Source organism: Homo sapiens, chromosome 8 (assembly GCF_000001405.40).
Source record: "Homo sapiens chromosome 8, GRCh38.p14 Primary Assembly".
In the NCBI taxonomy this organism is placed as follows: Eukaryota; Metazoa; Chordata; class Mammalia; order Primates; family Hominidae; genus Homo; species Homo sapiens.
Genome location: NC_000008.11, coordinates 5659007 through 5673476, shown reverse-complemented (window position 1 = coordinate 5673476; position 14470 = coordinate 5659007). Strand labels below are relative to the sequence as shown.

Here is a 14470-nt window from a genome sequence, read left to right as displayed (position 1 = left end):
AAGATAAATATAGCTTTAAGAGTTAGAGGTGGGCTGTTTATATATGATGAAAAGATCTAGAATGACACATAATGGATGTTTGACTTTCTAATTTGGGGACGGTTTTTGGTCAAGACAGTAATGAGAAATAACACCTTTAATTTTTACTTTATATAACATTTATTACTTATCCTTTTTAACAGTAGACCTCTACTACTTTTACTTTTTAATATAAAAGACCAATACCAATAATTTTTTTTTTTTTTTTTTTTTTTTGAGATGGAGTCTCACCCTGTCACCCAGGCTGCAGTGCAGTGGAGCAATCTTGGCTCACTACAACCTCCACCTCTGCCTCCCGGGTTCAAACGATTCTCCCGCTTCAGCCTCCTGAGTAGTTCGGATTACAGGCATGCACCACCAACCCTGGCTAATTTTTTGTATTTTTAGTAGAGACAGGGTTTCTCTAGAGACAGGGTTGACTAGGCTGGTCTCAATCTCCTGACCTCATGATCAGCCTGCCTCAGCCTCCCGAACTGTTGGGATTACAGGCGTGAGCCCCCGCTCCAGGCAGAAACATTAATCTTCTTGAAAGATGTATGCAAATCTCTCAAAATCTCCAGTGGCCTCCTCCTCCTCCTCTTTTTAACTCCACTTTTCAACCACCAGCACTCAATTTAAGTACAAAACTATTCTCATGAATATTTTAAGAAGTGTAGTGACATTTAAACATAATATTTTCCCATTTTTTCTCACTATATATATTCTGTATTTTCTTTGCATCCTTAAGGAGGCTTTTGTTCAATGCTTCTCAGTAACTAAGGTGTCAAATTGAGAAAAGTAAACAAGACTGGATACATTTCTATACTACGAATACCCAGAAACGAACATAAGAAAGCAGCGGCCGGGCACGGTGGCTCATGCTGGTAATCCCAGCACTTTGGGAGGCCGAGGCGGGCAGATCACGAGGTCAAGAGATTGAGACCACCCTGGCCAACATGGTGAAACCCCGTCTCTACTAAAAATATAAAAATTAGCTAGGCATGGTGGCGCATGCCTGTGGTCCCAGCTACTCAGGAGGCTGAGGCAGGAGAATCGTTTGAACCCGGGAGGCGGACGTTGCAGTGAGCCGAGAGTGAGCAGTGATCCCGCCACTGCACTCCAGCCTGGGTGACAGCATGAGACTCCATCTCAAAAAAAAAAAAAAAAAAGTAAGAAAGAAGGAGTGTTTATCTCAGTGTCTTCCTTTTCCAGTCGGCTTCCTCCCGTGCCTGCTTTTCAACAGAGTCATAAGCGGAGCTCGCCATTGCCTAGGGGAGCAGAGTGCTTTGACTTTGTTCTGTCTGTTTTTTCTCAAACAGTTACCATTCAATAGAAAAGCAAAATATGTAGACTTTTATACTATTTTATTAATGCATCAAACAAAAACGGACATAATCTGATTGGAATTGTAGTCAAAGAAAAACAAAAAGTGGATTACTCTAATGACAATTCACCTAAGATGCATTTGGGAAACTCAAGCTGTTTCTGGAAAACCTCTGTAGAGCTTGTCTAGAGCCTTCTATTTGCTAATTAAAAAATAAATTCTGCTGGCAATAAACTTTCTAAAAGAGGAAAATAAACCAGGAAATGCAAAGCTGTTTAAAATGTGAAATACACTTGGAAATCCAGTTTAATGAAGAATCTAATAAAAACCCAAACGCTACGGCCCTGCTTGAAACCAAAATTGGTGCATAATCCTGATGCCTGGTCCCAAAGGTTTCCAATAAAAGCTATGCCTTTGCTTGGTTCTTATAATAAGTCACCATTTTCACTGAATACTCCCGATTCTCCTGAATGGATCTACTGCCCTATGAACTCAGACTGGCCTTTTGCCAGTAAATTCTTCCATCACCTATGAGAAATAAGTTTTTAAAAAGAAAACTTTTATGGAAGTTTTGTGTATGTCCAGCATTTCCTGCTCATTTTTATGATCACTAATTTTATGAGAATTCAGTGATGTCATTTATTCAGTAATCCACCCATTTCCACTCGTCTTTTTACAGCGTCTTTCATTGCTCTAGGACATACTAATGCCTCACCAGACTTTTGCAGTTCCTAACAAGTGGTCTTTCTGTTCTTGTTTTCACATAAATCTTCATGGTAGAACTTCAAACTTATTGCTCCCCGCTGTAAAATTACCCCTGCTTCTCACGCCCCAGCCCACGATCACCTGTGCCACACATTACCACGCTCCACGTTTCATGTACTGTAAGCACCACTTCCATGTACTGCCATCTCCGTACCTTGCTTTCATTCTTTACCCCATTGGAGTATCTTCTGCTGACTTCACAGTTTAAACATATTCATCCTCCATCACCCACTCAAAAGCAACTCAGAAGGACTTCCAATTCCAGGGAAATTCTCTCTCCCTTCTCCTTCCCATCACTTCTTCTGAACTTGTCTAATTAAAATGTTAAACATCCTGTCTTGATTACCATTATTTATCTACATACTTTTTCTTAGCATATAAATTTTCCCAAGTGCAGGATTCATGCCTGCTATATTTTCGAATTCCTGGCCATGCCAAGAAGTGCTCAACAGTTATTGCTCAACTTAAGAAATTAAAAAAAAAGACTGTGTAAATTAACACCTTTAATGTTATAATGGTGCATTTTAAAAGGATGATGTTTTAAGAATCCATAACCCTTTGCCTATGTGGCATCATTCTAATTTGCATATTGTGAGATTGAAATAGAATTATCTGACTTCCCCAAGATTATATGGAAATGGAGCTAATATTTGAATTGTTTTGAAAACAGTTTGTACTGAATCCCTTAAAGCGTAAATTCTGTAATGCATTAATCTGTTGGTGATCCTAAACACATCTCACTGATGTTGCAGTGGCCTCAGATTTCTGAGACAGGCCGATGTTATTTTATCCTTCTGTATGATAGGAGAGACTTCCTCTTTTATTGCCAACAATTCATAACCTTTCATCCACTTATGCTTTTAAAAATATAATTTGGGTCCTGTGCAAATATAGCACACACAGAATGTCCTTCCTAAACTATTCCCCAATATAAATTTAATCATTAAACCATTAAAACCATCGTGTTCTTTCTTCAGTTAAATTAACTTTATCTGTCCCTCTACGGCCCTCTCTCTCTTCTGCCCTTCCTGTCCTTCTCTGTTTTAGAGTTGCCCATTCAGATTAAAATATGCATGACAAGAGTAATACCTTAGTAAGGATTCAACTCAGTGACTCTTACTGAACAAACAATGTTGTAACAGATTCTGCTAACAAAGAGATAAACAAAACAATTTCTGTCCTCATGGGTGATAGGATGTGAAAAGTGTTACAATCAGCCAGCAGAGAAGCATGCTGGGACAGCCATTCATTCTGCCACCCAGGATGTGAGGGAGCTTCTAAGAGGTATTGATAAAGGAACAGGGCCTTCCATTGCTCTTTTCTAGGTGGGCAGCCTATAGGAAAGGGGATTTACAACAGTGGAAAGGAGCAGTAAAAGTGCTGTGGTTAACGCGAATCACATGCCCCCAGAACAGCCTGTGGTAAGTATCCTTTCAATAATTAATCTTCCAGTTCACATTATTCTGGTGCACCAGCTGATCTTGCTGGAGGGCAGTGTGCATATAGAGGAGGAGAATGGCGGGAGAGGAGATGTGATAAATGTAAGAAGGAAGCAGCAGGCATCATGACAAATCTGGACTAGGAAAAAGGAGAGGCTGTCAGGGAATGCAAAGGAGAAGGGGCAGGCAAGACTGGCCCCAGTGACAATGATTTTATTCTCCATCACAAAGGAAGCCAATGACAGCAAATGAAATATAGGAAAAAATTTGTATGGCGATGCTTTGGAACCCCTTAGAAATCTCAGACTTAGTAATGTCAGTTTTTTTATTTGCAATATTTCAAAAACTCTTGGAAGTATTGAAACTTGAATCCCATAGGATATGCCAGTTTTTTTAACCACAATTATTTCAACTATGTGGCTAGACACGTGTATCATTATACATTATTCAATCTTTAAAATGGAGAGATGAATAACTCCTTATTAATCCATCTGCTAAAACAGGAAAAGTTCCTCAGCAGAAAGTTCCTCCAGTGAAGGATAAAAGGTCTTTAATGTCATAAAAGTTGTAGACCATTGATTCAGAGTGTACAGTGAAAAAGATGAAAACCAAGGAAAATGGCAAAGAATAAAAATAAAAAGGCCAGGGAAATACAAGGCTGACTGAGGGAAATAGTGTCTTATAATGACAATTTTTTGGACAAAAAGAAAATGACATTTTCTTTAGTGCCCATGGTGTCCCAAGGCTCTTAGGGCACACTGAGGTTTGTTTCACCAGTTCTATGACCTTGAGCAAGTTCTTTAGGCTCAAAACCTCAGTTCCAGTTCGGCTAAGTGAACACACCAGGCCATCTGCATCCGGGGGACCACAAAACAAGATGACATTTGAAAAGAACCCAGGACCATGATGCAGGCATAATAGAACCTCAGCAAATGCTGGGCCAGAGACTCTGAAGCAGTTGCTAGACAGCCTCCTATCAGGAATGCTGCAGAAAATCTCCATCCACCCATCCCGCATCAAGTGGGACCGAATGAGCTAACAATAAAGGAAATCTACCTGCTAGGGCAGAATAAAATCCTCCATAGACCCCAACCATTGAAAATAATGAGCCACTAAAGTGCTTTGCTTGGAAAGGGGGAAGCCTGTAAGTCTTTCATTTTCATGGACTTTAAACAGAGAGCAATCAAAAAGCAGTAGCTTTGTAAAGTTGCCTCAATCCCGGCTCTTGCCTGCAGGTTTAGCTCCAGCAGCTCTACATATATTGACAATTGTTTTTAAAAATGAGTTTGCAGCCTGGTGCAAAAGGAAGATGGTATGAATAATATTACAGCCAGGGACCTATGGAGAGCAATGCACTTTCGACGGCTTTGTTATTTAACTTCTACCAAAGCATCTCTATTTTCAGGGCTGACAGCTCCATTTCCACAGTCTCTGGCTGTGAGTGGAGAGCACATGAAATTGCTGTGGATGGACACCTTGCTCGCAAGGAAGGCAGCGGCGTGCAGGGGTCCTCACCGGGAGAAGGGTGAGGAGGGGGGATAGATTTGCTGAGAACCCTTTGCTCCTTGCTTACTTTCAAAATAAAACTTAATTCCCTTCTCCCAAATTGCCTTAAAATGTTTACATTTTGAAATTCATATGCACTGAATTTGAAGACATCAACAAGAGCTACTTCCCATCCCTCCTGGCCACCTGTTGTAGCTGTCTCCCTGTCAGGGCCTCATTCAGGAACTGCTTCTCTTTCCTCACAGTTTGAGCCAGAGATGGGCTTGTCAGGAATGGAAATAGAGCTTCCTGCGATGCATGAAAGTAGATGCTGGACTGCACGGATCTCACAGCTTTGCAGAGAGCAATGGCATTCTCTTTCCAAATGCATAAATTAGAACTGCTGCACTAAGTCTGCAAAACTGAGCTCTTGTATTCCAGTACAGCCCAGAGAGCATATTTCTTAAATCACTTAAAGATTCCATAGAATTTAAGGCAGACCTCTCAGTCTTTTGGGAGAAGTGCAGATGATACAGGAATTAGGGTATACATCATCTTTTGTCTCCTTGGCGGGGAAAAGCCACTGCCCCAATGCTGCCCAAGATGTTCTTACTAAATCAGCATGAGTGTGTTCCCACTTCTCCAAAACAAACAAACGAAAAAAACAGACTAAAAATAACTTTCATCCTAGACAGAAGAGAAAATGTCCAGGGTCTCAGTTGTAGAAAAACAAAGGCAGCATGATGCTCTAAAGGGATATGGATAGCAAGCAGGCCAGGTGTACTTCCAGAGCCTTCTACAGCACAGGTGCTCAGCACAGCCAGTCATTTCTGCAAGTCAATGTCACCTGTGCCATGGACATCTTCACAAAGTAATAACAAGAGCTACATTCATGAAACCTTCCTATATTCTTTAAGAACTCGGCATGCATTAACTCAGAGAACCCTTAACCCCTTTCCCATTTGCCTTAAGAAATGAGCACTGGCAGTGAGCTGCACATTTTTTTTTCCTAAATGGGAAATAGGTTAAAACAGTCTGTTGAGGGAAATAGTCGTATTATCCTCATTTTACATACTGAGAGATTATGTAAGAGCCCAGGGTCTCAGGACCCATAAGTGCAGGAGAAGTCTGGCTCTTGGGTCCAGACTCCTCACTTCCAAACTGCATCAATAACATGGATAAAGTCAGGAGTGACAGATGAACTGTGGCAAGGAAATGCAGTCTATAGATTTGATGTCTGTGCTCTCACCAACTGGAACATTATCTTTCTTCATCTTTTAATGCTCAGCATTTAGCACAGTGGCCAGTCAATGGTGGGTGTTGAACAAGCATGTGTTGCATGAATCAATGGGAAGAGGGCCCTTGGTGATAGCACTGTTGATGAAGAGCCAGAATCAGTGAAACATGTGAAAGGCTCCCTACGGACTCTTCACAATCATAGGACACTGTTGGACGAGTACAGAGAATCTCGGCCTACTGGTAGAGTGATTTAAACACCCCCAAAATAATTCAACCAACTCAATGTCAGCTGACTTAACATTGCGGCCCCAAAATACATATCTAATTAGCAAATGACCTAAAATATTTATACACACACACACACAGACACACACAGAGAATACTTCTGTGAGTATTCTGTATGCCCAATAAACAATGCGTGATGTTAAGCTTGCCTATAATCTATATATCTCTATAGCATCTATCTACCTATTATCTATCATCTATATGTCTGTCTACCTAACATCTGTTACCTATCTGTATCATCAATATGCCTACCTGTCTATCATTTATGATCTGTCTGGCTATTTGTGTATCTTTCTGGGGACAGAGAGTAGCAGGTACATTTATTACCATGTGTTGAATCTCCATTGTGCCCTGGGCAGCACATGTTAATACTATTCTATATTAATACTGTGAAAAACAACAGTGAGATATTTAGAAAAATAACTTCATATATCTGAAAATTAGAATATTGGCATTTGGAATTTTTGGCTGGGTGATCGAAAGAAGGTTGACTTGCTTTGGAGCATGTTCTATAAATATGTGTCAAGTGATTAAAGATTATTGTCAATTGGTGAATCTCTTTTCAGGGAAGTATTTTAGTTATTTTAATTTATTATGGCTCAAAATAATGTATAAATCTTCGATACAGGCTGTTATAAACTGTAAGCCAAAATAACATACCTAAGATGTGTCCAGTGGTAAATTACAAATTAATGCTACTAAAAATAAGAAATTAGTCACTAAAAGTCAACTCTCTGTTACTATAGAGTCGACTAAAAATGGAAAGAACACGAGTATCGAATTGTTGGGAAGTGAATACAAATTAGATGACAACTGTTCATGTCCCTCCATTTCCTCTCACATCCAACGAGGGCAGTATTCTTCACTTCTACTTCCCAGAAACAGTAAGGAGATTAATTAGCACCTGTGAAGGTTTTGTACTATCTTGGCTCAGAGAAAAGTAATGGTGCCTTATTCTTCGAGTATTGTTTCATTTGAATCATAAATAGGGAAACTTATTTTTTTAACTAAAAGTATAACTTCTAAAAATTACTGAATTCAAGCAGGATTAAAAAACGACTCTACTGGGTTTTCCACACTATCAAAGACTTCTTTTGTCTTAACTATTACTCTGGAGAATGTCAGATGCAACATGGTTTCCTTTTTGTACAAAGGGAAAACATACTGAAGCATGATTTTAAAAGAATTTCAGAAGGAGCTGTAAAACAAAGTCACATCGAACATTGAGCACTGATATTATTCTTTAGAGAGTTGATGTCTAGGCTAATGCACTGTGACCCGAGGATTTGTTTTCAAGTTAGGGCAATGGTTCTCAAACTTTAACAATAGGACATTTCAAATAACCCAGAAAGACAGATCCCCAGGGAAATGCCTGACGATTATTTCCAAATTCTTGACTAACCTGGGGCTTTCTCTCCCTTGGACTGCTGGATGTCTCCTGCTGCTCAGGTGATGTGATTGCCCACAAGGTCCTGACGAGTCCTCTGTAAACAAAATTCAAAGAAGAGGACTTGCTCAACACACCTGCCACAACTCACCTGCAGGGTCTATCAAACTGAGTTCCTGATTCAGTAAATCCAGGGAGGGGACTGACGATTTGAATTTCTAACAAGCTCCAGGTGAACTGCTCTCTGAAGATCAGAATTTGAGAAAGACTAAATTAGCCAGTTCAGTGGTTTCCAAACTGGAGTCTTTTATCTACCCAGAGAATTTTTTGTTTGTTTAAATGCAGATTCCCAAGTCTACCCTGAGTTTACAGAATCAAAATTTCCAGGGTGCAAGACTTAATCACTTGCACTGCTTTTAAGCTCAGCAAGTATATCAGTCCATTTTGTATATCAGTCCATTTTGATACTGCTATGAAGAACTGCCCGCAACTAGGTAATTTATGAAGGAAAGAGGTTTAATGGACTCACAGTTCAACATGGCTGGGGAGGCCTCAAGAAAAGCAGTCATGGCAGAAAAGGAAGCAAGACACCTTCCTCACAAGGAACAGGAAAGGAAAGCGCCCAGTGAAGGGGGAAGAGCCTCTTATACAATCATCAGATCTCGCGAGAACTCACTCACTAGAAACTTGCCAGGAAACCACCTCCATGATTCAATTACTTCCACCTGGTCTCTCCCTTGACATGTGGGAATTATGAGGAAGGCAATTCAAGATGAAATATTGGGTGGAGACACAGCCAAACATCACCTTGGGGCACAGGCTCAAAAACAGGTGAGTCAAACCATGCTATTTAGAGATATTGAACCCCATAGCCAAGGGCTGAATCAACTCTTACATTTGGTTTATGCCTTCAGAATCTCAGCCATACTTATCTGTGGTCGCTTCCTGCTTTGCTATGCTTGCTAGTGATGTTGCCATTTGGGGTGCTGTAATTTCCTAGAATACTGGAATATTCATTCTTACAGAAAAGACCTTTCATTTGTTCTGTGAGGCACCCAAGGCACAGAAGAGGCAGAGTAGCACAGGATCTGTTTAAAAGTGCAGACCCTGAAATTAGGCTACCTGGGTTGCACCTGGCTACCACTTATCAGCTGTGCCAACCTTGGGCAAAGCTTGTGAAACTCTCTAAGTCCTACAGTTTTCTCATCTGTGAGATGTGGGTAATAGTGCCCTCCCAAGAAGACTTGTATAAGGATTAAATTAGTTAAAATCTACAAAGTGCCTAGAGTAGAGCCTGGGTCTATTTTGTGGTATGGACTTTCTTTTTTTTTCTAATGTACGATTGGAGGCTATTGGTTAAGAGATTTTAGCTCTGCTAAAACCTTTCAAATAGAATTTTGTTAAAGTAGATTATATTCTTTCAAAGTGCGTTGAAAAATAGCTGGCATTCAAATATAGGGCAGGAAATCTATGAATCAGGATATTTTGGATGCTGTACATGATTGATGAGAAAACAATAGGACATTTCAAATAACCCAGAAAGACAGAACCCCAGGGAAGTGCCTGAGGATTATTTCCAAATCCTTGGCTAACCTGGGGCTTTCTCTCCCTTGGACTGCTGGATGTCTCCTGCTGCTTAGGTGATGTGATTGCGCACAAGATCCTGATGAGTCCTCTAAACAAAATCCAAAGAAGAGGATTGGCTCAACACATAAAGAATTGGTTGCTCCACACATTGTTTGATTTTACGACTTTAGAGAGGAAAATACTTCCATGAAACTTAATTGCTGCTTATAGGTTTCATTTGCTTGTACCTTCTATGTGCCTTTTAAAACACAAACAATAGGCTAGGCACGGTGGCTCATGCCTGTAATCCCAACACTTTGGGAGACTGAGGCGGGTGGATCATGAGGTCAGAAGATCGAGAACATCCTGGCCCACATGGTGAAACACCGTGTCTACTAAAATAGAAAAAATTAGCCTGGTGTGGTGGCAGGCACCTGTAGTCTGAGACTCGGGAGGCTGAGGCAGAGGAATTGCTTGAACCCAGGAGGCAAATGTTGCAGTCAGTGGAGATCGTGCCATTGCACTCCAGCCTGACAAACAGAGCAAGACTCTATCTCAAAAAAAAAAAAATACTAATAAGAAACACAATATCAGTAATTATGATTTTTAAATAAAAGCTTATCTTTCAGTAAGTCTTTATCCCCATGGATAGATTTATAAAGTTCTTTCAGAATCTGAGATTATTGAACTTTGCGTGTCCTAGCAAGGTCCAAAAAAGAGTGAAAAGGCCTTTCATTTGCTCTCTCCGTGGGGCACCCAAAGCACAAAAGAGGCAGAGGAGCACAGGATCTGTTTAAAAGTGCAGACCCTGGAATTAGGCTACCTGTGTTGAATCTGGTAGCCTAATGTGGGTTATCATATGTGTACACATATGATAAAATGTTTTATATATGTGTATCCTATATACAAAACAATTTAAATAAGTTCATATATATGTATATGTGTACATATACATACAGACCCATATATACATACACATACACGTATGTATATACATACACATACACGTGTATGTATATACATATATACACATGTGTGCACATCCATATATATATACACACATATACACACGATACACATATGTTATATATATGTGTATCGTATAAACATATAGAACATTTTAAATAAATTCAGTACCTCAGTGTGAAACACAAAATCATATTAGGTAGCATAGCTTTATATGTGTGTGTGTGTATAAATATATACCTCAAACTGAAGCACTGAATTGTTAACATGATTACTAAACCTAATAATCAAAAATGAAGTTATTGGCCGGGTGCGGTGGCTTAGGCCTATAATCCCAGCGCAGCACTTTGGGAGGCTGAGGTGGGCAGATCTCGAGGTCAGGAGTTCGAGAACAGCCTGGCCAACACAGTGAAACCCCATCTCTACTAAAAGTACAAAAATTAGCCGGGCATGGTGGTGCACGTCTATAGTCCCCGCTATTCGGGAGGCTGAGAAAGGAGAATCTCTTGAACCTGGGAGGCAGAGGTTGCAGTGAGCCAGGATCATGCCACTGCACTCCAGCTTGGGCAACAGAGTGAGACTTCATCTCAAAAAAAAAAAAATTATTTCCAAAATGATGAATATCAAAAAAGCCATAAACTACTCTCCAAACCTACTGAAAAAATTCCTCGGTAATTGTCCATCTATTATGTGGGAATCTTGTATCTCAAAGCTGTTTCTTAAACTAAAGAATAAATATACCGTCATTTGAAGACAAATACTTCCTAGGAGCACTAGGATATTGATTCATCAGTTTCAAACAGCTTATCATATAATGAACTCATAAGAACTAACTATAACCATGAGGAGCAGTGAAAACCTTGTCAGAGGAAACGAACAGAGTGCCCTCCGTGGAGGTGAGCCTTCTGTGGTGGATTTCAAGGTGAGCATGAAAACAATAATGCTAAGATGCTCGTAAAGACCAGATAAAATCTTTTAAATTATATATAGAACAACTTTAAATACATATTTGATATACCTATATAGAAGACACAATTTTCATAGAATTGTATATAATTGTATACAATATTAACCAAGATTCATTTTTAAAAACAGCTACTGCCATCATTTTCTCTTTCTCACAATTTTATTTATATAGTTTGATTGAATAAGTAACATACCTTTAATAATTTTAAGAAGCTTGCAACAAATAAATGATACACAGACATGGTGTTATTGAGGCTGACAGGAAAAGTGGATGTGGGACCACTATAAACAGAAACCACAGTCAACAGAGAAGTGGTCGGTGCCGGTCCCAGGGGCTATGATGCTCTCTGATACATGGCAGGTTGCATGGTCAGAGAATAAAGACGTCCCCACTCTATCGTTCATTATTTTATTCATTAACCTAATGTGTGGACAGATGATATGAACCCTGCTCCTGCCCTCCCTCCTACTGAGTCCTCGCTGTCTCAATGCCATGCCTCTGAGAGCTGTGGCCATTGTGGACAAATGGCATGTACCCTGCTCACAGTAAACACACCACGTTGAGTAAGACAAATCCTTCCAGATTCTCCCACTCGCTGTAATCTAGTGCAGTTGGTTTGATGGCGGAGGCCTTCATTGTATGGTAGGACTCAAGGGAGTGACCTAGACTACCTGGGTGTACAAGCAGCCACGTCCGTCTGGCCGATTGAAGAGCAGGCACAATGGAGCCTACCTGTGAGCCGGGGCGGCCGGTTATATGAGTCCTCCTGTGACTGCATTGGCTCCTCTTGCTGACATTGACAAGAGAACTCCAGAGTAGATAACCAGCTCGTCACACTTTCCTCATTCCCTATTTTTACGCATTTCGTGAAACCTCTTTTGACCTAAAATGATGGCCTTAGCCTTCAAAATGCCTCGGACCAAGGCTTAAAATGTGAGTGACTTCTGCCCACCATTCCACCTGCACCTTTTCAGGAAACTGCCCCAGAAAAGCACAGTCACATTTACAGGCATCATTTCTTGCTGGGCACCACAAAGACAGCCACGGAGTTGATCTTTTCCTCCTGCGATGAGATCTCTGGGACTCACATTGTTTCTCTCTTTCATGGACAATGGCCCAAAGCACATGCTGTGAACAGGGTCTCGAAAAGGGAAACAGGCAACAGGGAGCGACATAGCTAAGGAGGCCAGCGCTGGAGAGCCTGTGCTGCAGAGGAAGGACCTTCCATTGGCACAAATACAGGGCATACAAGGGACTGTGAGTGCTGTGGTACCTCTGTGAATGGCTGCCATGTGCTACGGGTGAGCCAGAATGGCTAACTGAAAAGTATTCAGCTGCATGGATGGTACTCGTAAAGGGGAAATCAAAAGTGTGGGGCAAATGAAGGGTTGATAGCACTGAAAATTTCAAGGTCTTTGTTTTTCCTGAGAGCACTTTCTGTCAATTCTCCCAACAACGACCTGGGTTCTAACGGGCTCTCTCATAGAATCTTCCAGTATGACTCTGACTTCAGGAACACTTTGGCAACTGTTTTTCAAAGCTTCACAAGGAAATGCATAATTTAGTTTATTATTAATTCCTGTGCATGCATGTGTGTGTGAATATGTTTTAAAAGGAATGATTGGCTGCAATGGAGAGGTGGGGCTTTGCCAAACAAACAAAGAAACAAACAAAAACCCAGAAAAACCCTAAGTTAAAATCCATGTAAATAGGGACATTTAAAAAACATACAGTATAGACATTATCTTAGTCATCAAAAGAAGAAATTTGCAGTGTGGCCCTTCTAGCCTTGAAGGACCAGACTCAGAGCCAAGAGAGACAGACAGCTGTCCTAGCTATGACAGCCTGACTCTGTAATATATTCTCCTTCCCATCACTTTGTGGCTATCCTGGCACTTTTTTTCCTAAACAGTTACAGTTTCAAGTGATATAATTCTCCAGAGTACATTGCCATGTCCTTTATATTTTGTGATCATTGATCTTTGCTATAAAACTATACTGTTTGAGTGTAAAGTTTGTAAGCTTTAATAATAGACTTTTCACTTTCAGTCCACAGGATACCATCACTGAGCTGGAATACAACATGGGGCATCTGAAAAGAAGAACCAAAATAGATGCCTGGTCTTCAACTAAATTACCTGTTCATCTTTTTCCAGGAAACCTTGGAACACCAAGGAATCAGCAGTCAAACGAGCTCAGTCTCTCAGAACACATGTGGGGGAATTGAGTATTTCAACTTTTAGGTAGACAGTTTCTACAAGCTAAATAGTGGAACGAAAGGAGCCAAATAAAGAAGTTATAAAACACGTGCATATTTAGCCCCTACTTTTTATTAAACTAAGACTTTTTATTCACATATCAATTAATTAGTTTATTTATTATTATTCATTTATTAGTGAGTATTTTTCACACTCGGAAAAAATTAAAGCAATTGTCTTCAAGTGTAGAAAACTAAATAGTCATTGTATATCTGTTCCTAATTATCAAGCTACTTCTCTGAATCTCACTTCAAACTTCATTAAGAGATTTATCTAGAGGACATCTAGATAATTGGAAGATTACTTCCAATTCAAATATTTTGTGAGTTGATGAGAATAATGTTGTAGCCATTAGGTCTAATCTATCTATCTATCTATCTATCTATCTATCTATCTATCTATCCATCTATCATCTATCTTTCCTTCTCTCTAAATCTTTATCCTATCCTATTTTACACACACACATAGATCCTCAACATACAAATTTAGGGCCTCAAAACCAATTTCTGAAAACAGATTGCTTTTTCACTTTCTAGAACCGTAGTGTTTTTGTATCATTTTCTTTCTCATCAATATTCATATTGGTCGACTCCATTGGCTGAGATAAATTTTTATCTAGAGGGAATGTATGGATATCTCCGCGGAAAGAGAACAGCATTATCGGATGTTGTCTTCTTAAAAATCATCCGTCTCAGCACTGAGCATATTACCACAGGGAAAGGTGATTGGAGACAGCACATGAGGTGTGGTTTTATCCTTGCGATTTCAGTT

The 14470-nt window shown here is 40.0% G+C and overlaps 1 long non-coding RNA gene across 2 annotated transcripts; it reads left to right on the top strand.

Moving 5' to 3' along the window:
- The first annotated feature begins 3387 nt into the window (after positions 1–3387).
- Positions 3388–13747, top strand: LOC124902045 (uncharacterized). Of its 2 annotated transcripts, none has more exons than XR_007061157.1 (2): positions 3388–3528; positions 13491–13747. It is a non-coding gene; the product is annotated as an uncharacterized LOC124902045 (long non-coding RNA). The 2 variants fall into 2 exon arrangements; XR_007061158.1 differs by lacking the exon at positions 3388–3528 and adding an exon at positions 7302–8773.
- Positions 13748–14470: the final 723 nt, after the last annotated feature.